At 35.6% G+C, this 23,886-nt stretch overlaps 1 protein-coding gene across 8 annotated transcripts in view; it reads right to left on the bottom strand.

Moving 5' to 3' along the window:
- The window catches only part of COL19A1 (collagen type XIX alpha 1 chain), a 345,913-nt gene that overhangs the window by 163,464 nt on the left and 158,563 nt on the right, over nucleotides 1-23,886 (bottom strand). For all 8 annotated transcript variants that reach the window (NM_001858.6, XM_047418188.1, XM_011535437.3 and 5 more), the window contains 2 exons: nucleotides 14,707-14,760; nucleotides 13,066-13,101 (listed from right to left, as the gene is read on the bottom strand). In NM_001858.6, coding sequence (NP_001849.2) covers nucleotides 13,066-13,101; nucleotides 14,707-14,760 — 90 coding nt within the window. The remainder of the gene's footprint in view (nucleotides 1-13,065; nucleotides 13,102-14,706; nucleotides 14,761-23,886) is intronic.

Genomic DNA, 23,886 nt, shown 5'->3' with positions numbered 1-23,886 from the left:
CAGAACATATTAATTCTAGTCAGAATGGAAAGAGGAATTACGCTCTTTGGGCATACAACAAGAACCTTTCTAAATGCCATCAGAAAATTATAAAATGGGTAAGCCTTTGAAAAATTATATGCAGCAAAGCACGTATTTATTTCAGTCATAAATCTACATTAAAATTAGTTTAATTCAATTCTATTCTAAGCATTTAAAAATCTTTGTGGTAATGCCTTATATTGATATATTAAATGGAACTAAAAAACGATTGGTCTCTAAAAAGGATTAGAATTATATTAATTCCAATTAACTGATTTTAACAAACCAAAAGTAAATAACTTTAAATTACAACATAAGAATTCTGGTAAAAAATAATTTTCTCTGAAATAACTAGATGTCTGTGTATAATATGAACAACTACAGTTGTACAAATACTTGTAAACTTTTTATACACAATTCACAAACGATCATTTTAAAAATGATCAACTTTAACCAATTGGTTGCTTTTTCTTAAACCACGTAGGTTTTCTGAAGGCAACGACAATGATTGTTGTTTGTTACTGTGTCTGCAGGGCTTAACACAGTATCTGGCACACAGTAAGCATTCAACTAAATGAGTGGGTAAAAGAGGAAGGGAGGAAAGGGACCATATCACTTACTGAGCAGTTATTTTTGTTTCTTGTACATACCAACTTAGAAAAATAATTATTTCAAAAATTCCCTTATGTGAACACTATATGATCTCTTGTGCATTAGGGGCATCTGCTAATTGAATGTCATTTGATTTATAAATGACCAGCTGAGATTTTCTCTCCGTTGCTTATGGTATTTAAGGTAGTTTTCTTAGAGTAAAAGCTATGCACCCTCTCTGTGCGTAATTTCTCACTGAAGCTGGATTTATGTGGGCTCCAAGGAACTGGTATTTAAGTATCATTTAGTAAGCATGTCTAAGGCACTTCTGCTGTTGACAGACTTAACCTTTGGCTTCTGCATAAACATTTGGTGCCATCTGGATGAGTATTTAATAACTTCCCAAAGAGACATGGCCAGAGCAACACAGCCATTTTCCTAGGAACTAAAATTAGTGGATATATTACATGAAATAGCACTGTTCTACCTTCCTTCACCTGTCTCTCCTCTGACATGACATGCAAAGACTGGAAGAGAAAAGGAGATAGAGATGTTAGCCAACTGTCTCATTTCACTCATAGTCCCTGTCTTGCTTCTGAAGCCTTAGTAATGTATTTCAGTAAAACTTTACTGTAAAAACAGGATTATATTATTTAATTGAGGAGAATCTGGCAATAGTATGTAATAGGAAGGTTATAGAACATACACAATTTGTGAAGTTACATATAAAGACACACTACATTTATATAAAATTAAGGTTTTAACAACAGATGACATATAACCAAAGAATTTGTGCTTATCGTACTTGAATATTTGAATGTAATGATTTACAACTAATATTTCAACACGAGAGGAAAAGCTAATATAAAATGCAATTTTTCAAATAACATGATTAAACCATGAAATATTTACCTTTAATAGAGGATTTTTATGTCAACATCTTCATATTTCAGAATAATTTATCAGATTTTCATTATGACCTTGGATACATTATATTTGATCAAATAAATGTGTATACTTATTATGATAAACACATTTTTCTTATTCAGCATTGGTTTTAGCTCACGTATATCTGCCTTGTAAATTACAAATATCAACAGAAGAGATAATTTAAGTTTATCAGTAACTCACTGGTTAAGTGTCATCTTGACATTAAGTATTTAGTTTTCTCACAATCAGAATACAGTATCTTAAAAAATGCTGATTCTGAATATAGTTTTGTTAACATATTTATTTTAAATAATTTAGAAAAGGAATTTTTATTCTTTAACAGGTTATTCAAAAGTGCCTTTTCTAATCCATCATTACTGCAACTCAATACGTGACAATGATATTAGCAATATGGCCATTCCAGATGTGGTAGAACCCAAATACCTTTTGAAAAAATGTGATTTGGTGATATTTTTAAAACGTGGAATTTCAAAAAGTTGGTACATATATATGAAAAACATATTTATAAGGGAATTTTTCTTTGTTGTTAATAACCCAGTTGCTTAGAGAATTTCAGCTGAATCACTGCATTATTTGACTGTATTTGGCTTCATTTGTGCTGTTGAAACCATAAGTCTCAAATTTATAGCAAGTTATTTCACATTTTTATGATTAGAATGCTAAATTTTACCATCTATGAGTTTAACAAGTTGCTGAGAAATGAAAAAATGAATAAGGCAAGACATGGTAAAATCTACAACTATAGATTAAAGACATTTTAATTTAAACTTTGTATCATAATCATTAGACAAATCACAGGAATTAAAACTTAATAGTCATTCATTCTTCACTGTAAGCCTGAAAATACAAACAGCACCAGTGCACTGAATCAGAACAATCCATTTATTCTAATTGGCCAGCACTCTGCATTAAAAAAAAATTGAATATTGGATAATTTTCTGGAAAAATTACTTTGTTGTGGAGTAAAATCAGAAAGAAAGAGAAGAAAATGAGATGAAGTCAGAAATGCAATGAGAGTTGAATCCTGTAAGACTTTGTAGGCCATTGTATGGAATTTGGGTTTTATTTAATTACCTGGGGAAACACTGGAGATTCCGAAAAGAAGAGTGACAAGGAACATTCTGGCTTCTTGTGTAAATCACGCAAGAAGAGCAAGGGGAGAAGGAGGGAGACCATTAATTGGCTACTGAAAAAATCAAGAGATTTATAATGGTAACTAGGACCAAGTAGTAATAGCAGAGGTGTGAGAATTGGTCAGATTCTAGATATTTTTTGAAGGCAAGGTCAATAGAATAAGTAAAGAAATGTGAAGGCTAACTCACTTATGTTTACAGGAGCAAGATATCTAAGTAAATTATAAGTTACTCAGCATTGTATTACAAAAATGGGCTTCCAGGATGGCCCAGTAGTTATATTAAATCAACATGCTCACAGATAGCAACTATAAATACTGAACAACATGTAGAACAACTACCTGAAGACACTGGAAACTCATCAAAAGCAGGCAGATACTGGAGGGGAGTCAACATTTGGAAAAATTAAACAGCATGGAGTCAGTTTTCTGTTTTTAAGATGTTTAGTCTGAGGACAGGCTCAAGTCTGGGTCATGGGTTAGCTAAATAGAAAGCCTACAGACTTGCTGGATTGAAAAATCTGAGGACAGAGTTTAGGGCAAATGCAATTCCTGTAAAGTAAAGTGGGGTTGGTTTGTCAAATCCTGAAATAAGTAAGGAAGTCCAAAATTCTGCGTATAAGCTCTCCCCAAATCTCTGGCTGACTCCTAACCAAACATACACAGTGCAAACTGCAAGTAGCTCAGCTTAGCTTAAAAGAACAAAACGGATTTCAGCTGTTGCCAGCTGTAGGAGAAACAGAGTTTGCTATGCGAGTCAAGCCAATTTAACTGCCTGCCTTAAAAATATATTAAAGCTCTTCAGAAAAAATGGAATTCAGAGTTCCTGTAACTTACCATTCATAGTATCCAAAATACAATAAAAAATTACTTGCCATACAAGTAAGCACCAAAACATAACCCATTCTAAGGAGAAAAGACAATCAACAAAGAACTACTTGATATTACTCAGATGACAGAATGATCGGAGAAAGTTTTTTTTTTTTTTTTTTTTTTTGAGACAGAGTCTCGCTCTTGTTGCCCAGGCTGGAGTGCCATGGTATGTTTTGGCTCACCACAACCTCCACCTCCCAGTTTCAAGTGATTCTCCTGCCTCAGCCTCCCAAGTAGCTAGGGTTACAGGCATGCACCACCATGCCTGGCTAATTTTTCTATTTTTAGTTGAGATGGCATTTCTCCATTTTGGTCAGGCTGGTCTCAAACTCCCAACCTCAGGTGATCCGCCCACCTCGGCCTCCTAAAGTGCTGGGATTACAGGTGTGAGCCACCGTGCCTGGAAAGATTTTAAAGTAGCTATTAAAAGTATTCCCAAGGACAGGAAGGAAAACATGCTCATAATGAATGAAAAGATAGGAAATAACAGCAGAGAAATAGACACTATTTAATATAAAATAAACTTCACTAGCTTAAAAATATAGTATCTATACTAAAAAATTCACATGATAGTCTTAACAGCAGAATGGAAATTAACAAAGCAAGAGTAAGATTGATAAGGGCTTATTGGAAATGATCCATTCCCAAGAAGATGGAATTAGATGGGAAAAAAATGAACAGAGTTTTATGGACAAGAGGGACATTATCAAAAATCTAACATATCTGCCACTGGCATTTCAGAAAGGGAAGAGAGAGAGAATGTATGTTCTGACTGCTCCACTGACTAGCCATTTCTCTGTCTCTCTCCCTCTACTTGGGCAACCCTATTTCCTAAGGAACAACAATATTGAAATTAGGTCAATTAATAACCATACAATGGCCTCAAGTGTTCGAATGAAAGGAAGAGTTGCGCATCTCTCATTTTCAATTAAAAGCTAAAAATGATTAAACTTAGTGAGGAAAGTGTACTGAAAGCTGAGATACACCAAAAGCTAGGTCCCTCCAGCCAAACAGCCGAGTTGTGAATGCAAAAGCCAGGTCCCTCCAGACAAACAACCAACTTGTGAATGCAAAGAAAAACTTCTTGAAGGAAATTAAATGTGCTACTATAGTGAATACACAAATGATAAGAAAGCAAAACAGCCATATTGCTGATATGAAGAAAGACTTAAAGATCTGGATAAAAGACCCAAATAGCCACAAATTCCCTTAAACCACAACATTCCCTTAAATCAAAGCCTAATCCAGAGCAAGCCCTTGCCTCTTAATTCTGTGAAGGCTGAGAGAGGTGAGGAAGCTGCAGAAGAAAAGTTTGAAGCTAGCAGAAGTTGGTTCATGATGTTTAAGGAAAGAAGCCGTCTCCAGAATATAAAAGTACAAAGTGAAGCATTAAGTGCTGATCTAGAAGCTGCAGCAAGTTATCCAAGATCTTCAATGAAGGTAACCACACCACGCAACGAGTTTTCAATGTCAACAAAGCAGTTAAGATGCCATCTAAGACTTTCATAGCTGGAGAGGAAAAGTCAATGCCTGACTTCAAAGCTTCACAGGAAAGACTAACTCTCTAGTTAGGGGATAATACAGTTTGTGACTTTAAGGTAAAGCCAATCCTCATTCTGAAAATCCTAGGGCCCTTAAGAGTTATGCTACATTTACCCTGCCTGTGCTCTATAAGCGGAATGACAAAGCCTGGATGACAGCACATCTGCTTATAGCATGGTTTACTGAAGAAGCCCACTGTTGATACCACTGCTTAGAAAAAAATATTTCTTTCAAAATATTCCTGCTCATTGACAACGCATCTGGTAACCCAAGGGCTCTGATGGTGATGTACAAGGAGACGAATGTCGTTTTCATGCCTGCTAACACAATATCCATTCTTCAGCCCATGGGTGAAGGAGTAATTTTGACTTTCAAGACTTATTATTTAAGAAATACATTTTGTGGCCGGGCGCGGTGGCTCACGCCTGTAATCCCAGCACTTTGGGAGGCCGAGACGGGCAGATCACGAGGTCAGGAGATCGAGACCATCCTGGCTAACATGGTGAAACCCTGTCTCTACTAAAAGTACAAAAAAATTAGCCAGGCATAGTGGTGGGCGCCTGTAGTCCCAGCTACTCCAGAGGCTGAGGCAGGAGAATGGCGTGAACCCGAGAGGCGGAGCTTGCAGTGAGCCGAGATCGCGCCACTTCACTCCAGTCTGGGCGACAGAGCGAGACTCCTTCTCAAAAAAAAAAAAAAAAGAAGAAGAAATACATTTTGTAAGGCTATAGCTGCATAGATAGTGCTTCCTCTGATGAACCTGGGCAAAATAAATTGAAAAACAACATTCTACATGCCATTAAAGGCATTTGTGATTCACAGAGGAGGTCAAAATCTCAACATTAACAGGAATTTGGAAGAGGTTGATTCCAAACCCCACGGATGACTCTGAGGGGTTTAAGATGTAATTGGAGGAAGTAACTGCAGATGTGGTAGAAATAGCAAGAGAACTAGAATTAGAAGTGAAGCCTGAAGATGTGGCTGAATTGCTGCACTCTCATGGTAAGCTTGAATAAGTGAGGAGTTGCTTCTTATGGGTGAACAAAGAAAATGTTTTTCTGAGATGAAATCTACTCCTGGTGAAAATGCTGCAAACATTGTTGAAATGACAAGGAAGATTTGAAATATTATATATATTTAGTTGATAAAGTAACAGCAGCATTTGAGAGGATTGACTCCAATTTCAAAAGAAGTTCTGTGGGTAAAATGCTACTAAACAGCATCACATGCTACAGAGAAATCTTTCATGAAAGGAAAAGTCAATTAAGGTGGCAAACTTCATTTTTGTCTTATTTTAGGAAATTACCACAGCCACCCCAACCTTCAATAACCACCACCCTGATCAGATAGCAGCCATCAATATGGAGGCAAGACCCTCCACAGCAAAAAGATTACAACTCACTGAAGGCTCAGATGATCATTAGCATTTTTTAGCAATAAAGTATTTTTTAATTAAAATGTGTAAAATTGTTTTTGCATAATATAAATTGCACATTTTATAGGACATGGTATAATATAAACATAACTTTTATATACATTGGAAAAGCAAAAAAAATTGGTGACTTGCTTTATTGCAGTGGTACGGAACCGAACCTGTAATATCTCCAAAGTATGCCTATATTCTGCATTAGGCAATCTCTAAGTAGTTTTTAATTCGAATTTGATACTTTGAGATAAACATAGCTATCCTGGTCCCTAACCCCAAGCACACTCTATTATCTTACACTGGGCTGCATCGCACATTTACATTTCCACCCCATCTCTGCTAGGCACTTGAATTTTTCTGAATTTTGGCTTCAAGATAAAATTTTATTTTATTTTATTTTATTTGAGACAGAGTCTTGCTATGTCACCTAGGCTGGAGTGCAGCGGTGCAATCTCAGCTCACTGCAACCTCCTCCTGGGTTTAGGCAATTCTCCCACTTAGCCTCCCTGAGTAGCTGGGATTACAGGCATCCATCACCAAATCCGGCTATTTTTTTTTTACTTTTATTTTTTTATTTGTAGTAGAGATGAGGTTTTGCCATGTTGACCAGGCTGGTCTCAAACTCCTCACCTCAAGTGATCTGCCTGCCTTGGCCTCCCAAAGTGCTGGGATTAGAGGTATGAGCCACCATGCCTGACCTGATTTAAAAATTTTAATTTTTGCAATAGTTTAGAACATTTCTGTTTTTTTTATAATTTTTTAAACTAGATTTAAATAATGCTTGCAGAATTTAATAGCTTAGGTTTTAAGAGTCAGCCAAATGGGCAGTTGAATATTAGCTCTGTTATGTAACATCTGTGAACCTTGGACAATTTACTTAGATATTCCCATCCTCAGTTCCCTTATGTACGATGTAGTAATAATCATTTTATACCTCACAGGGTTGTTTAAGGTTTGGTTTAAACAATACATAGCACTGAATAAATGTCTACCATTTATTATTTATATTATTATTACTTAAAATCTAACAAGATGTGCTATTTTTAAAATGGTTATCAGTTTGAAATATAAAAAGGATAAGGGTGGAATAATCAGTTAATTAATTTAAATCAAGTTGAAGAATCTCATATTTATTTCTTTAGAACTTTAAAATTATTATAAGTTTCTATAATGGCTTATTGTGTTAACAAAATAGTTGTTAGTACCAAACTAATTAGTGAATTTGGTATCTTCCAAAAAGTGGCTGAAAAGAAATCAGATATTTCATTAAATTTTTTATTTTCAACTAGCTGTATTTGCTGAAAATATTCCTAGCAAGAGATACATGAAGGTGGGTTTATGGTGGCAACCATGGATTTTTAGTCTTTCTTTTTTGTGTGTGTAATTCAACCACATTCCCACCTTCTGGGCTGAAAGTGTTTCATTTCTTTTTTTCCGTATCTCTATATGAAATTTTGTTTAAAAAAAGTATTAAGGGAAGCCTCTTGGACACTGTTTTACAAAATAGTTTCCAGATGTTCCACTTACAGATTCACAAATTTGTTCTTGAATTTCAATATCTTTTATTGTTAGAATAATCTGGAAAGTCTACAAAATAAGATTTGCAAGTTTATTAACGTCATATCAAAAAGTATAATTCTATTTTTATCAAGTCAAGTAGATTGACAGAATATTTAAAGGTTAAAGGATGTAAGTGACAATTAATGCCATAAATATCACTTTAATCTCCATGACATTTTTACAGGCCTCAGATTTCTCTTATTATTTTTTTTCCTTTTCTTTTCTCCAAGGCAGTCACATTGGAGTATTTTCCATATGACCCGTGAACATGAATCTATAGAAGGATTCAAACGTTATCAAAGGGATTCAACTGTGGAATTTTGAATGGGGTCCCATTTCCTGAAATAATAAAGGGGTATATTGCAAACTGCATTTGAAACTGCAGCACCATTTTGGTTGGCTTTCTTATTAATAGGTTTCTTATATATTAGAGAGTGAGGAAGCACTGGTCACTGGCAGTAAGAATACTTTCAGGTGATAGGAAGGGAGAGGTGAAATAAAGGGTAAAAGCTATTGTAGCTGAACCTAGCAAATCAAACTGTTTCTAGGACTCCAGTCTGTGTTTCACGCCATTTCCTCAATTTTACCTTTCCTACTCCTTTTTAAACTTGGTCACCCTCACTTCTTTATTCTCTCTCTTCCACTGAGACCCAATTATATACAGACTCAACGAGTTATAAAAGAAAGTATAAATAAGCAACAAAAGTAACATTTAATGAAATAGATGGTTTTACATATCAGATTTTTTTTGATGAACTGGTTCTATGTGATTAAAAAAAATTTAAGTACCAAAAGCACAAGAATCCACAGGGACACAAAAATAACAGCAATAAACATAATCCCAGCTGGACTCAGTGGTTCCTGCCTATAATTCCAACACTTTGGGAGGCCAAGGGAGGAGGATCACTTGAGCTCAGGAGTTTAAGACCAGCCTAGGCAACATAGCAAGACTTTGTCTTTGTTAAAAAAAAAAAAAAAATTAGCTGGGCATAGTGCCAACCGTCTGTAGTCCCTGCTACTTGGGAGGCTGAAGTGGGTGGATCACGTAAGCCCATGAGGTCAAGGCTGCAGTGAGCTGTGATGGGGCTACTGCACTTCAGCCTGGGCAACAGAGTGAGACCCTGTCTCAAAAGAAAAAAAAAAAAAAACAATACTTCCCCAAAAACATCATAAAGGATTGCCCCTGCATCAGTAAACTCAGTATTACAGTGTGCTCAATTACTATTTCTCTTAATTTCTTATTAAACAAAATATGAATAAAAGTAAAGCAAATATAGAATGTATGGCTTAGAGGGGGAAAAAGTGTTCAGCTCTTCGCCCTTAGTTATTCTGGGCAGTTCAGCTGTGTGTGCTTTGAGAATTTCTGGAATTCTGTGTCCTGAAGTTGTCAATGCTTGTTGTCCTTCTCAAGAAGGATTACTGTTGGACTTGCTAGTAGCTTGTAAATGTGGAGATGGACGTTCATCTATCCTCTATAATGAAGTAATCAGGAAGCAAATTGTAGGTATGACTAGGAAGGCTGGCCTCTCCTGGAAGCTCCTGAAAGTAATCAGGTTGGGTGTTTTTGATATAAATACTAGTGTAATGAGTAATTCCAAAATGTTTGCTCAAGATCTGTAAGAGAAAGCTGTAAAGAAAAGTATTAGACATGCTTTCAGAGCCTTAGTTCTCGAGCGTGCCTGCACATTAGAACTGCTTGGGAAAAATCTCAAACAACTGTTGCCTGAGTCCCTCCCTGGAGATTCTGGCTTTATTGGTATGTGGTACAGTCTGGGAATTAGAATTTTTAAAGCACCTTGGGTAATTCCAATGTGCAGTCAAGATAGAGAACCATTAATCTTTTTTTTTTTTTCAGACGGAGTCTTGCTCTGTCTCCAGCTGGGCTGGAGTGCAGTGGCGCGATCTCGGCTCACTGCAACCGCCTCCCGGGTTCGAGCAATTCCCCTGACTCAGCCTCCCAAGTAGCTGAGACTACAGGCACACACCACCATGCCCAGCTAATTTTTAGTAGAGACAGGGTTTCACCATGTTGGCCAGGATGCGACAGAGAACCATTGATCTATGGGAAAAGGCAGCTAACTGGGAAGAGGGTGCTAAGCCTTTGTGACCAGTGTAGTGCAACAACCAGTAGTATCTGACTCCCTTGGGGCTTGCTAGAAATGTAGAAGCTCAGATCTCACCTCAGACTTAGGAATAAAAATATGCATTTGAACAAGACCCTGAGTGTTCCTACATACATTAAATTTTAAGAAGCATGAAAGGCACCCAAGCCACAGGAGTACATGGACATTTAGATGAAGGTTGTAATTAAAGGTATCTTCCTAGCCCTAATTCTCTCCATTTAATGAAGCAGGGTTCAATCTTAACTTCATTTTACTAGTATGCCTCCCTAACGGAAAGAGATAGTTCTTTATCGCTATGTATTAAGTTGGATTTCAAATGGAAGTTGGACTTCTTCAACAATCTGATATAATTTTTTTGAGTAGGAAGAAAGCTTTTTCCATTCTAGTTCCCATAAATAATGGTTCTCAACTCTTGCTGCATATTTAGATCCACTCGGGGAGCTTTTAAAATATACTGGTCCCACATCAGGTTGATTGAATTGGAATTTCTGGGGGTGGAGCCCCAATATTGGTTAAGTTTTTTAACTCTTCAGTAGATTTTAGCGTGGAGCTAGTTTTGAGAACAATTATGGATGAACTCTGTTTATTGACTCCAATATATCACTGCCTCATTTAATCCAAATATAACGCAGTTAGTCATTTGGGCTTCCTCAAAGACTATTATAAATTATTTCAACTAATAATGTACCAACCTGTATTATAAGATCAATTAAATATTTAGTGTATTGTAAGTTGGTATTCATTTTAGTTTATCCCTATTTTGTAGGGAAGAGTTGATAATTTATATTAATAAAGAAAGTAATGTCAAGCATACAAAATAGTAATACCCCAATAATATGAATATTTTACTTTATGAAATAAAACATTTCATTTCATAGTGTTTTTTCCTTGTCGTATTTTTAGACAAGTATGAAATTAGCTTGTAATCTCTAAGTGCTTGACAGATGAATTGGTGCAGAGAGGTATCTTCAAGGTGTTCCTTGGCAGAAAGAAGCTAGCTGCTATTAAACATCCACAAAATATATGTAATCCAATACAATTTTCTGATTGAGAAGCCAAAATTGTATTTCAGGCGAAATAATATATGTAGATTGCATATCAGTCTTCCAACATGAGTTGAAAATGACAATGAAATCAGATAACTGAGTAGTTGAATATATAACTTAGTTGAAGAAAAACAGGCATGTGTCTTACATAAAATGAGCAGGTTTAACTAAATGACTGCATGTAACTTAGTTAAAGAGAAACAGGCATCTGTCCTAAGTAAAAAGAGCAGGTTTAACTAAATCACTGCTAAATAATTTTTTTTTTTTAATTCTACAAAGTGTAAGGCTGGGCACAGTGGCTCAAGCCTGTAATCCCAGCACTTTGGGAGGCCGAAGTGGGCGGATCACCTGAGGTCAGGAGTTCCAGACCAGCCTGATCAATATGGTGAAAACCTGTCTCTACTAAACATACAAAAATTAGCCGGGCATGGTGGCAGGTGCCTGTAGTCCCAGCTACTCAGGAGGCTGAGGCAGGAGAATCGCTTGAACCCGGGAGGCGGAGGTTGCAGTGAGCCGAGATCGTGCCACTGTACTCCAGCCTGGGTGACAGAGCAAGACTCTGTCTCAAAAAATAAAATAAAATAAAATTCTACAAAGTATAAAAAACTGAATAATATGCACTTAAAACCTCCTCTCAAAAAAATAGTCTTTCTTTTCATGCTTAAAATAAAAGCTTAAAGCATAAACTTCCACTGCAAATTGAATGAGTTATCCCCAAGTAAGTTATCTATTTAGTTCCTTAGGTTTTCCACATATCAAAAAACATTTGTTTATGTGGGAGTTGTAACAATTATTTGTGTAAGACATTATTAATGTATTTTTCATAATGGGATTTTTAAGTACAAAGATAAATATAAATATTATCAAAATCACACAGTTTTTGAGATTCCTATGTTCTACCTATGGGAAGGGCTCCATTCAGATTACTAGAATACTTTTAAAAATCTGACCTTCTATAATCAGAATAGGTCTTCGAATACTACTGATTTAAATGCTTAATTTATCTCACTAGGTAACATCAACATAAAATTCAAAAGACTTCAGGCTATAGAAGATCTTTTTTAAAAAAAACAAAACAAAACTGTCCTCTTTTCCATTAGGCTTAGAGTCTTATTTAAGTTAAATAAGAATCTTTAATCACCTATGAAAAAAGTCTGTAATAGTAAATTGTATCTGAATATAAGAGAATCATATATTTATTATAAAGTGCTTAATACATGATGTACCATTTGATTGAGAACAATCTCATTATGTGCACACTATAAACTTTTCTCATAAATCTGTCACTAAAATATTGCAATTTTATCATCTGCAAATTTTAGAATCAAATCATAGAGGAAAATAACAATGATTTTGGAAAGTGTTGGGAGAATGTAATTACCAGTTTAAATAGGTAGCTGTTTTTATTCACTGGGTGATTAGAGTTTGTTTTGTCCTTTTACAGTTTTTAAAGCAAGTAGGACTGTATCTGATTCCATTTACATTAAACCTGATGTTAAGAGTGCATAATCAAACATTTAGGAGACAAAATTATGAGCCATATGGAGGATAGAGGAAATTGCTCAGGGTAGGTACTGATTCCAGACTTTAATTGTAACTACCTGTATGACCTTGGGTCAGATATTTCACTGTTGTGGGCAGATGCCCCATCTTTAAAATGTGGAGGTTTGACTACATGTACTCGAAGTCACCTTCAATTCTTAACTCTGTGACTTAAATTCTGGTTTAGTCATGATGTAATATGGATAATAAACAGAATAATGGATTTCAATTTTGAATTTTGATTTCAAGAATACTTACAGGTAAGGCTGGTGGTCCTGGGGGTCCTGTATCTCCCTAAAATAGATTAAAGAAAAGCTACAATTACCACTAGTCCCTTTTTGCACATTATTTATAAATTTCTAGGTGGATAGAAGCAATATATAGAGATAAATCTTGAAGAATAGAAAAATAGAACTTCATCCTGATAAAAGTCTCTGCATAAAGAAAATATATCATGTCCCTTTTAGCTTTCATGATATAAAAATCACCTTGTATACTCTATGCTTTTTGCAACAGCAGGACTTGTTTTGAAAGCGAAAATAATCTAATTTTCTATTCTTTTGTCTACTAATCCAAAATTAGAAATAATATATTTTCAAGTATGTTTACTTGCCAATGAAGCAGCTGGGAAGTGTCACGGCGATAGATAATTTGTCTGACAAAGTTAGTATGAAGATCAGCAGAAATAATAAGTGGATCTCCCCATTTCATGCTTCCCAGCTGCAAGAAGCAGTCCCATGGCCTCTTCTAAAGCTCTGCTGAATTGGCATTGCATTTGCCATCAACTGTAAGAGGCTTTGCCTATATTTATGTATTTCTGAACGCTAAAATTGCTTTGCTGATCTATGTGAATACAAATTTCCAGGTGGATATATCAACAAACTATTCAACATCTTTAAAAAATGGTTCATCTAAAAGTTCACTATTTTCCAATTTCTATGTCACCTTCATGTTTACTTTCCCAGGAACTTTATTTATTTCTTAAGAACTCTCAAACATTAAAGACCACGCATCCTTTCCACGGTTCTTATTTAGCTGCACATTATGGAAGCCCTGTACTGTATAGCGTGGGGTACCAGGATGCTGTAGTCTCACAATGAGTATCTTTAGGACTTTCTCTTTTCTCAACCAATATAGCCACCTCAGAAGTTAAAACTTAGCATTGTGTATTCATTGTTTTTTGGAACAATTGAATTAAAATAGCCAACAGTTGCTAAGGGAACACTGAAGTGGCTTAAATCAGTCACTGGGAACTCATTTGCAGGATCACCTTTAACACAGAGATAAATATTGAAGATAGACAAGGATTTCTAAATGTGCTAAAAATGGAGAACAAAATGCATTGCAAAACACATATACATACAATTTTCATCAAACTGGGATCACCCAACTACTTTATTCAAAACAACCCTTGCTTTTTCCTATTTCTTAATTTCCTTTTCAAGATCATTGCCAACATGTCATTATGAAATAACTTATTTTATGAGAAAAAGTGGCAGAAAATGGAATAGTTAAATTAAGACTGAGATACAAAACTAGCTTCTTTCCAAAAGCCACTTGCCTCACCATTATGGCAGCAGCTCAGTGTTATTGGCAAAGTTTTCCAATACAGGTCACACTTGCTAATTTGATGATTGAATACCTCATGCTGTTAAGCAAGGGTGAGAAAAGGGAAATCTTATAAATACCAGCTAATGTCAACTAGCAATTGTGCATTTAGTCTTTTCAAACTAATTAAATGAACAAAAAGGCTGTTCTTATTCAGATGCTATTAAGGTAACAGCTTTTGGTTAATTTTAGAATGCTTTTAGGAGATAAACAGTATCAATGAGAAGTCACTGCATAGGTTGTCAGAGTTTTCTTAAAGAAAGGTTGGGCTTGGCTGGGTAAACACAATACCTTTTCTCCTTTTGGGCCAGGTGGACCATGAGGACCCAAGTCACCTTTCAAACCCTGTAGAAAGAATATAACCAATACACAGTTCACAGAAAGCTTTAATTTCTAACAAGTCATTAGTAACAAAATAAATCATAATTTACTGAACCTCCAAATCTCATTCTTCCTTTTGTAGTATAGAGAGAAATAGAGACAACTGGCACTAAAATGATAAGCAACATCTGTGCCGTGGTGGGCACAGATACATTAAATCAGCGCGAGTCCTCAATACTGCATATTTGTGCAACTTTGCTTCCTGCTAAAATTACATTAATTCACCATCTGGGAGAATATCATTTAGATCTATATGAGCTTTTAAGTATCCACTTTGGATTAAATTTGTGGATGTTGTAAATACCTCTGATTTAGCATTGATTTGGCCTTTGTTAAGCTTGCCAAAAAAATTCAAGAGTAAAATCAAAAACATTTTTATGTCTCTATCAAGAAATCTAATTGTGAGGGGAAAAGGAATGAAAGATGTATTCTTTTGCTATCATACAACTGGAGCTAAAATGTAATCTCTTGCCTGTTTTAAAGTATATTTTAGTTCTCTAATTCCTTTTTACTTGGATTTATAAAGATGTCAAATGAAACTATATATGACATATACAGAATAACAGATAAATATTTTCATAAGTCCTCTGGACTGTTGGATGTTTTAATGGGTATTTAGTTGATCTGACTAAGCAATGACAGCTTTTGAGACTTCCACAATAGATTGTACCAGAGGAGATCAGCTCTACAGCTGCATGAATTCACAGTGTACGTAGAAAGTTAGATAGACACATCCTGACTACGTGGTAAATAGAAAAAAAAAACTTCTTTTTTCCTTAGTTTAACACACTGGATGAAGGAAGAACAATAATAGAAGAAAGAAGTATTCTGAAGCCACACAATGCACAGCAAGTCTAAGTGTCTTACTGTTCCTAGCTGAAAGACCCGGCTATTACTGCCCTGACATTTTGTAGTGAATAAATAATGCCAAATGCCATCACCTGTACTCAACATAGACACCAGTGATGAAGTGAAAGAAACAAAAGAAAATTAGATACTTAAAATAATCCTGTTGCAGACAGTGTGTGAAAATTGTAGTATTATACTTTAAGAAAAACATTTTTAATGGATGAAAACAATACCTAATTGGCAAAAAAAACTTCTAGTTGCATAAATGCCTTCACGTATAAAACTCATAGTTATTATTTTTTCCATCATTACCTTGGAATATTTATAGAAAAAGGATGAGTGAAAAATTAAATGATATTTGAGATGTGATACAGTATTGTCTTATTATTTACAATATCCATTTCTTCCCAAATCAAGGAACGCATACTCTATTTATACATGTTTCCAGAGTAGAACTTGGAAACAGAATATTGTAAACACTTGAAGGAAGAAATTTGCCATTTCTGTGAATAGATTTATTATTAATTCATTTGTTCTTTCACTTATTTATTCAATAAACATTTATTATATACCTTGTGTGAAGTTGCTTCTGGCCTTTAGACCTGTACTGGTAGCCACAGCCACATGTAGCTTTCGAACTCTTGAAATGTGACTACTCTGAATTGAGGTGTATTATGAATATAAAACACTGTTAGATTTACAATATTTAGTATAAGAAAAAAATGTAAAATATCTCACTAATAATTTTTAAATTATTATATGCTTAAATGATAACAGTTGGATATATTGCATTAAATAAAACATATTATTAAAAGTATTTTCTCCTGTTCCCTTTTATTTTGCTTAATTTGGTTACTAGAAAAAAATAATATATTTGCCTTCATCTTGAATTTGTAGCTCTTATTATATTTCTATTGATTAGTACGACTTTAGAGATACAGAAAAGAACAAGAAATTAATGAAGATTCTCTCCATCACCAAACTTTTAGTCATGGTTCTCTGAGCCCTCTTCTCAGCTAGACCTGGACCATGGCCCCCATCCTGTCTTTGGTCTTCCCAGCTCAGTTATAGCAAGAATCTTGCTAAGTATGTTTAGAGAGAATCTCTCACCCTTAAAATCTCTTCTCCATTCCTTACTTTTGAGAAGATCAAGTTCTTCATCCTCTAACTTGATGTCTAAGTCTTTGGCCTGTCTTCAGCAAGAATCTTCTTAGATCAGTTTGGTAAGAATCACCCTACCCTTGATGTCTCCTCTTAGTAATTTTCTATCCAGTGACATCCCTCCCTCTACTCATTGGCTATAAATCCCCACCTGTCCTTGTTGTAGTTAGAGTTGAACCTGATCTGTCTCCCTTATTGCAATTCCCCTATTGCAATAGTCTGGAATAAAATGTCTTCCTTATCGCTTTTTAAAAACAAGTGTCAACGATTTTTTTCTTTAACTAGGTGAAGGTTCCCGTCCTCAAGGAACTCATGTAATAAGAGGTGAGTGGCTGACAATAAACAGGTCAACAGGCTGAATGTGATAAAAGTGAAAGAGGAGAGAGTTGCTACTTCAAGGGGGGTGTCAGAAATGGTCCTTGTGTGGTGGTGACATTTGTTGTTTCAGAAGGATCCTAGCAAAGATATGGAATCATTCTGTGTCCATCAACAGATGAATGGATAAAGAAAAGGTGTTATATATACACAACGGAGTACTATTAAGCCATAAGAAAACAAAATCCTGTCATTTGCAGCAACATGGATGGAACTGAAAGTCATTATATTAAGTGAAGTAAGCCAGGCACAAAAAGACAAATATTCCATGTTCTTTCTTACATGTGGGAGCAAAAAAAATTTGAACACATGGAGGTAGAAAGTGTAAAAATAGATAACAAAGACTGGAAAGGGTGAGTGAGGGGGCAAGGGAGGATGAAAAGAAGTGGATAAAAAGATACAAGCATACAGTAAGGTAGAAGGAATAAATTCAATGTTTGATAGCAGAGTAGGATAAGCATACTTTTAAAAAATGTATTGCACTTGGAAAATGGACAACCTAAACATCCTGATTTGATCACTATGTATTATACATGTGTAAAAAAATTCTCATGTACCTCATGAATTTGCTCAAATTAAAAAAAAAAGGATCCAGCCACGCAATGATCTGTGTGGGGGCAGAGGGAAAAAGAAGCACAGAGGTCACTAAGATAAAAGGAGTGTCATGAGCACACAGGTAAGGAGTAGGGGGTTAAGTCAAGGTTTGCCAGGGGTCATGGTACATAAGTAATTGCAGGCCATGATGAGGAAGATGGGTTTTGTTCTACATGCAATGGGAAGCCACTTAAGTGTTTTAAGCAGGAAAATGACATGATGTGAATATGTTTACAAAAATCCCCACAAACCACTTTGGCAGCAACGTGGAACACAAATTATGGGCAGCAAGAGTGGGAGCATAAAAGGGGCTATGACAGCTTTTCCAGGAAAGAGAGCAGGATGGCTGGGACAGGCTTGTGCCAGTGGAGATGATGAGAAGTGGTCAGAGTTGGCACATGCTGGAAGCAAGACTGGCAGATATGCCAGAAGTGGAGAAGAAGAAGGAAAGTCTCCAGGCTGAGTTGCATTTGACTTAAGTAACTGGCTAGGAAGTTATCCCATTCACTGAGCAGAGAAATTTATTAAAAAAAGGTTTTCTCTTTTTGCTTGTGTAAAACTATGCAGAGAAAAGACAAACACAAAAAAAGAAATGACTGATAAAAACCTTGAGTATCCATTTACTCAACAAATATTATTGAACGTCTGCAAACATGTAAGACTAAATTATATACTCCTTATAAATGTGTAAGTGTGAAACATAATTTTTAAGCATGGAAGGAAACATTAGGTACAGCATTTAGAAAAATGGTTAACTCTGGAGTGGAGGACAGTATATAGTGAACCACACAGGGAGATTCCAAGTGGAGGATGACGTCTTAGTTCTCACATTGAGTTCTGGGTACACTGGGGTCCTCATTATAACTATGATTTATAACCATCATATATGTTATATATATTATTTTGTAGGTATAAAATAATACATTAAAAGTTTTAAAGATTAATTCCAACAAATTAATCCCAGTTGTAATTTCTAGGGAAGCAATGTATTGGCAGTTGAATCAGGTAACTCTCCCTGGTTCAGTCAACTATGGGCAGGGAGGAGGGGAAGGGATGATGTAGCCAATTACAAGCTGATGTGAATATTGAGTATTATCATTGAAGTATATAGCAGGTATGACAAAAGCATTTCCCACAGATGCCTAATTCTACTGGGGTGTCCAAGACTTCACAGATGTGGATTTCAGCAGAGTCAGAAGACGAATGGCCTTTTATGTATAATCATGGGTAAGTTGGGTAAGCTTTCCTATAAAATAGGTATAATAAGTAATAGTTTTCTTGAAGGGTTGTTCTGAGAATCATATGTTGTAGAGACATTTAGCATACGGTAGGCACTTAATAAATGTTGTTTTTACTTTTCAAGTTCAAGTTTAAGGGATAACTGATAGTTCTTTCTTGTTCAGCTTTATACCAGTTTGATGGATATGTAACAACTGTGCTTTAACTCACATAGGATAAAATGCAATTGAGAAGTACTGCATTTGTCAAGCTTCTACTTTTATGACCATTAAAGTAGGCCCATGTAACTCACGTCTTCCTGTGACAAAGTACAATGTTGTTAAGGCCATGGCATTGTAATAGCCTCTGAGAAACACATCAGTAATGCTTTTCTCAAATGCGGTTTTTCTCCTTGTGTCACACTGGTGCTCCTATCAATGGTTATTGAGTGCTAGGGAGAAAGGACACAGCACTCACCATAGGCATAAAGAGCCAAATGGAATAGACTCTGAATTAAATATTGAGTAAGATCGGTATCTGTTATGAAGGTTTTCAATCAAATTCATGTACATAAAGATTCCCAAAAGCACAGTAGTTGATTCTACATGTAATGTGGAGGCAGAAACCGTTATCTAAAGGCAAGACAAAAGCTGAAGAGCAGTATTATAACTAGAATTATAAAAGCGGGTAGACTATAAAATCAATTTTTGTTGGAGTACCTAGTACTACTCATGGGATATCATATCTTTAAAATTCAGAAGATAATATAAAAATATTATTTGTTAAAAATTTTTAACCCATCAATTAATTCTTTTCACAAGCTTTCAATGACTTAATGTTATTCCCTAGCAATGTCAACAGCTGTTGCCAGCTGTTATCTCTGGTTTTGTGATTTCAATATTTTTGTATCCTCTAGTACAGATTGCATTGGTATAAGGAGATTAACATGATTATTTTAGAAACATCAGATGCTGTAATTCTAATAAGGGATACTTAAAAGACCATAATATAGATTCAGAAAAAGAGACAACTCAACAATTAAGTCTACTTTTCTAAGATTGTATAACCCCACAGAAACAAATAAATAAAAACATGTACCTATTAGAGCTAAATGTGTTTTATTTAACTTGGTTTCTAATAATAGTGAATGTTTATATAGTTCTTGCCCTATGTTGGACACTGTTCTAAAGGCTTTCTGTATGATAGTCCCTTTAATCTTCACAAAAAAATCCATGAGGTAATTTTGGGGTACAGAGAGTGATAACCCCAAAGTGTGGTGCTTTGGCATGCTGAGTACTTTTGAATTAAAAGGAATTGAAAAGCCTTAGAAGCTGCCTCAGATCCAAGAACTTTCTAACCTTCTCTTGTTTTTCCTCCAACCCCTCCTCAAGTACAGGGAGGAGCTCTCTCTGGAAGTTTCTTTATCAGACTGAGAAATCTTCTTCCAAAAAAAGCAATTGTCTTAAAACCCCCTTCCTAGGAATCTAACAGAATAACCAGGAAAATTAATCTCTGGAGAAGAGAATAAACTAAAAGTTGTCACGATGCCCAGACAGACTCTTGGTCTATTCTTCTGAGGGCAGCTCTGAGAGATTATCTGGGAGTCTTTATCTGCAAAACAAGACAACTTTTGTTCACAGTGGAGGTCCAGCCTTCACCTTTCTGTAACTTGTCCACAAGCTATTGTTAGCTCTTGGTCCCATTCAATTCAAAAAAGAGTTTACTACCTCTCAAAATTGCCTACATTTCCCCATCTCCTTCTTTCCTATAAAGAGGGTTCTATTTAAGCTTCAACCATCTGGCCTTTCTTTGAGTCTCGTATTTTTTATGGCTCCCACTGTATGCACGTTAATATATTTGTATGCCTTTTCTCCTGTTAATCTGTCCATTGTCAGTTCATTTCAGCTGACTGAACCCCTCAGAGGGGAAGGGAAAATTATCTTTTCCCCTACAGTAAGTACTATTGAAATTATCATTCCGTGGTGCAAATAAGGAAACTGAGGCACAGAGAGGATATTGAAATTATCATTCCATGGTGCAAATAAAGAAACTGAGGCACAGAGAGGCTAAGTAATTTACCAAGTAGTACATCAGCTAGTTAGTGGCAGAGCTGGGATGTGAACCCAGATAGTCTGGCTTTAAAGATCACAATTACAACTTTATATTATTCTCTCTCAAGTCTATTCTAAGATACCTTTGTTAAATATATCTTGTATTAGGCCACAATCAAAATTATTTAATTATACACTAGATTGTGTGTAAAGACAAGGTCATATATTTTCAAGGTTAAATTTTCTAGCAATTCAAATTTTTGAAAATTTTAATATATGTTTTGTATGCATTATTTAAACTAGAATGGACATATGAGCATGCATTTGTTTAGTAATACCACAGACATCAAACAAAAGTTTAGGCATGCACACACATACAAACACACACACACACACACACACAGTTAAGATACACTTAGAAAAATATCAGCACATTTTTTCTTGTCCCAATGACTAGGGGCTGCTACTGGCATTTAGATTAGGTTGGTGAGCTTCAAGGATGCTAAACATTCTGCTCTTGCAAGACAGTCTGACTTGAAAAAGAACTGTCTTGCCAAAATGCCAAGAGTGCCACATTGAGAAAGACTGAATTGCTACATACTACCCTTTAAATTAAAGTTTACACTTTCCAAAGTGAGCTGGCCCATTTTGTGAGAAAGCTGGCACAAAATAAGTTATTATAAGATACATTGACACTAAGATACATATATAATACACAGCAATAAAGACTATTAAAAAGGCTGTGGAATTCATTTAGTAGAAATATTAAAGCATTCCAATATACTCTGACTTAGAAAGTAGCTGGAGTCACCTGGCTCACTGAGTTTATTTACCATACATTCTAAGACAATATTTCTGAAGTTATGATTTCCATCATTGGCTTGACTTTAATTCAAATCAAAATAGCCATTATAATACCTTTCAATTCCTAAGAATGTATACCTGGGCTTATTGAAAGTCAGAGTGAACTGTCATAAACGCTGAATTACTTTAGTTTGCAGACTCAGTTTTTTTAGCACTGAAAAATAAGCAATGATGTGTGGCAGGATTTACTGGGAAGATCAGACTTTTCAGCCAAATATTTAGAGTTAAAGGCCAATTTTAGTATTTTAAAAAAGAAAGTTGCTTAATTTCTGAAGCCTTTAATTTCTTGCTTCTGAAAATACGAATACTATCATTCCCCACTCTACTAGCCAATTAAGCTGGGTGAGGGTCAAATTTCAAATTCCTTGTGAAAATAGTTTATGAACTATAACACAATATTAACACTCCCCCCATCTCCAACAGTGTAATAACCAAGCAGCTGATTCTTTACTACTAGTGATAGAGGGGAAAGAGGAGAACTCTTACTACTTTTTGTTATTTCTCCTTAGTCATAACTCCTGAATATCTTTGGCAAAATTAAGGGGAAAAAATAACATCATCTACTTATTAACTAAGTAACCAAGTGAGAAAAGTTAATGTGCTTTGTCATGCTTTATGGTTGTACTTAATGAGCTACATCAGACAATAACGGTGCTAAAGGAATGACCTCCTGTTATTGGGGCATGTGAAGGACTCTTTCAAGATTCCTCAAAGGGATAGACATTCACACTGCTCACTAGGCCTTTGGGATCTCTCAGTAAGTTAGTGTTACTCAGATTTGGAACTCACACAGTGGCTGACAGAGAGTTTGGGAATATAGTAGGCCCTCAAATATATGCATGTATCAGTTGATTAATTAAAAAGCCCAAAAACCTTACTTTCAGACAATGTAAGAAAAATTTTCAAATCTTGAAATTAATGTGAATATATTTCAGGTTCCAACCTCTCAAATATCTTTCTAGTTTTATTCAAATATTTCAAAAACTCCTCTTTCTATTTCAATTCCAATATTACTTTTATGCACTTGTAATACACTCTGTTTTGCTCCTCTATCTCAGAGAGCCCACATACTTGTAGTTTGGTTATTTTTTGGAACACTGTAATTAATCTGTTTGAACACTCCTACATTTCTCACAAGTTAGTATCCTTCTCACACAGAACGGTCAACATGTTGGGCTATTTTTGAGTTTTCAACTCCAATCAAGTGCCAAATCATATGTATTTTACCTCTTTAGCATCATTCTCTGTATCTTCCCTTCCACATCTGTTATTCTAGCTTAGACTCTAATTACTTATATTTTACTCTGTCATAATATTAATAACCGCTCAGTTTTTCAAACTAACATTCAGCAAATAGTTATTTGGAACTTACCCCAAACATGTGCTAAGTACTAGGATTCCAACACATGGTCTTTGCTTTCACGGAGAGTGTAATAGAAAGAACAGAAAACACAGGCAAAGGCCCAAATTCTATCCATTTCAGAATCCACTGTAAAAGGAATTTTCATTTAAACAAAGTGTGGGCCACATCTCCCCTTTGTCCTGAGGAGGAAGGACAAGCATCCTCACATCCAGGACTTCCTATGCTCTGGCTTCATCTCTTCCTGTTTTGTTTTTCTCACTGTGCCTTACATGTAGCAGGCACTCAATGAACCTGAATGAATGCTTCAGGCCTCGTCAGACTTTTCAAGTTTATAATCTTAATAACTCTTTGCATAAAATCATAGCACATAATAGCGATAGGGGCTTTAGAATCTATCCCAAGTCTGCCGGGCACGGTGGCTCACGCCTGTAATCCCAGCACTTTGGGAGGCCGACGCGGGCGGATCACGAGGTCAGGAGATCGAGACCATCCTGGCTAACACGGTGAAACCCCGTCTCTACTAAAAATACAAAAAATTAGCTAGGCCTAGTGGCGGGCACCTGTAGTCCCAGCTACTCGGAAGGCTGAGGCAGGAGAATGGCGTGAACCCAGGAG

This window comes from Homo sapiens, chromosome 6, assembly GCF_000001405.40.
Source record: "Homo sapiens chromosome 6, GRCh38.p14 Primary Assembly".
Lineage (NCBI taxonomy): Eukaryota > Metazoa > Chordata > Mammalia > Primates > Hominidae > Homo > Homo sapiens.
The sequence above is the reverse complement of the archived record's forward strand: the minus strand, read 5'-3'. Positions and strand labels throughout refer to the sequence as shown.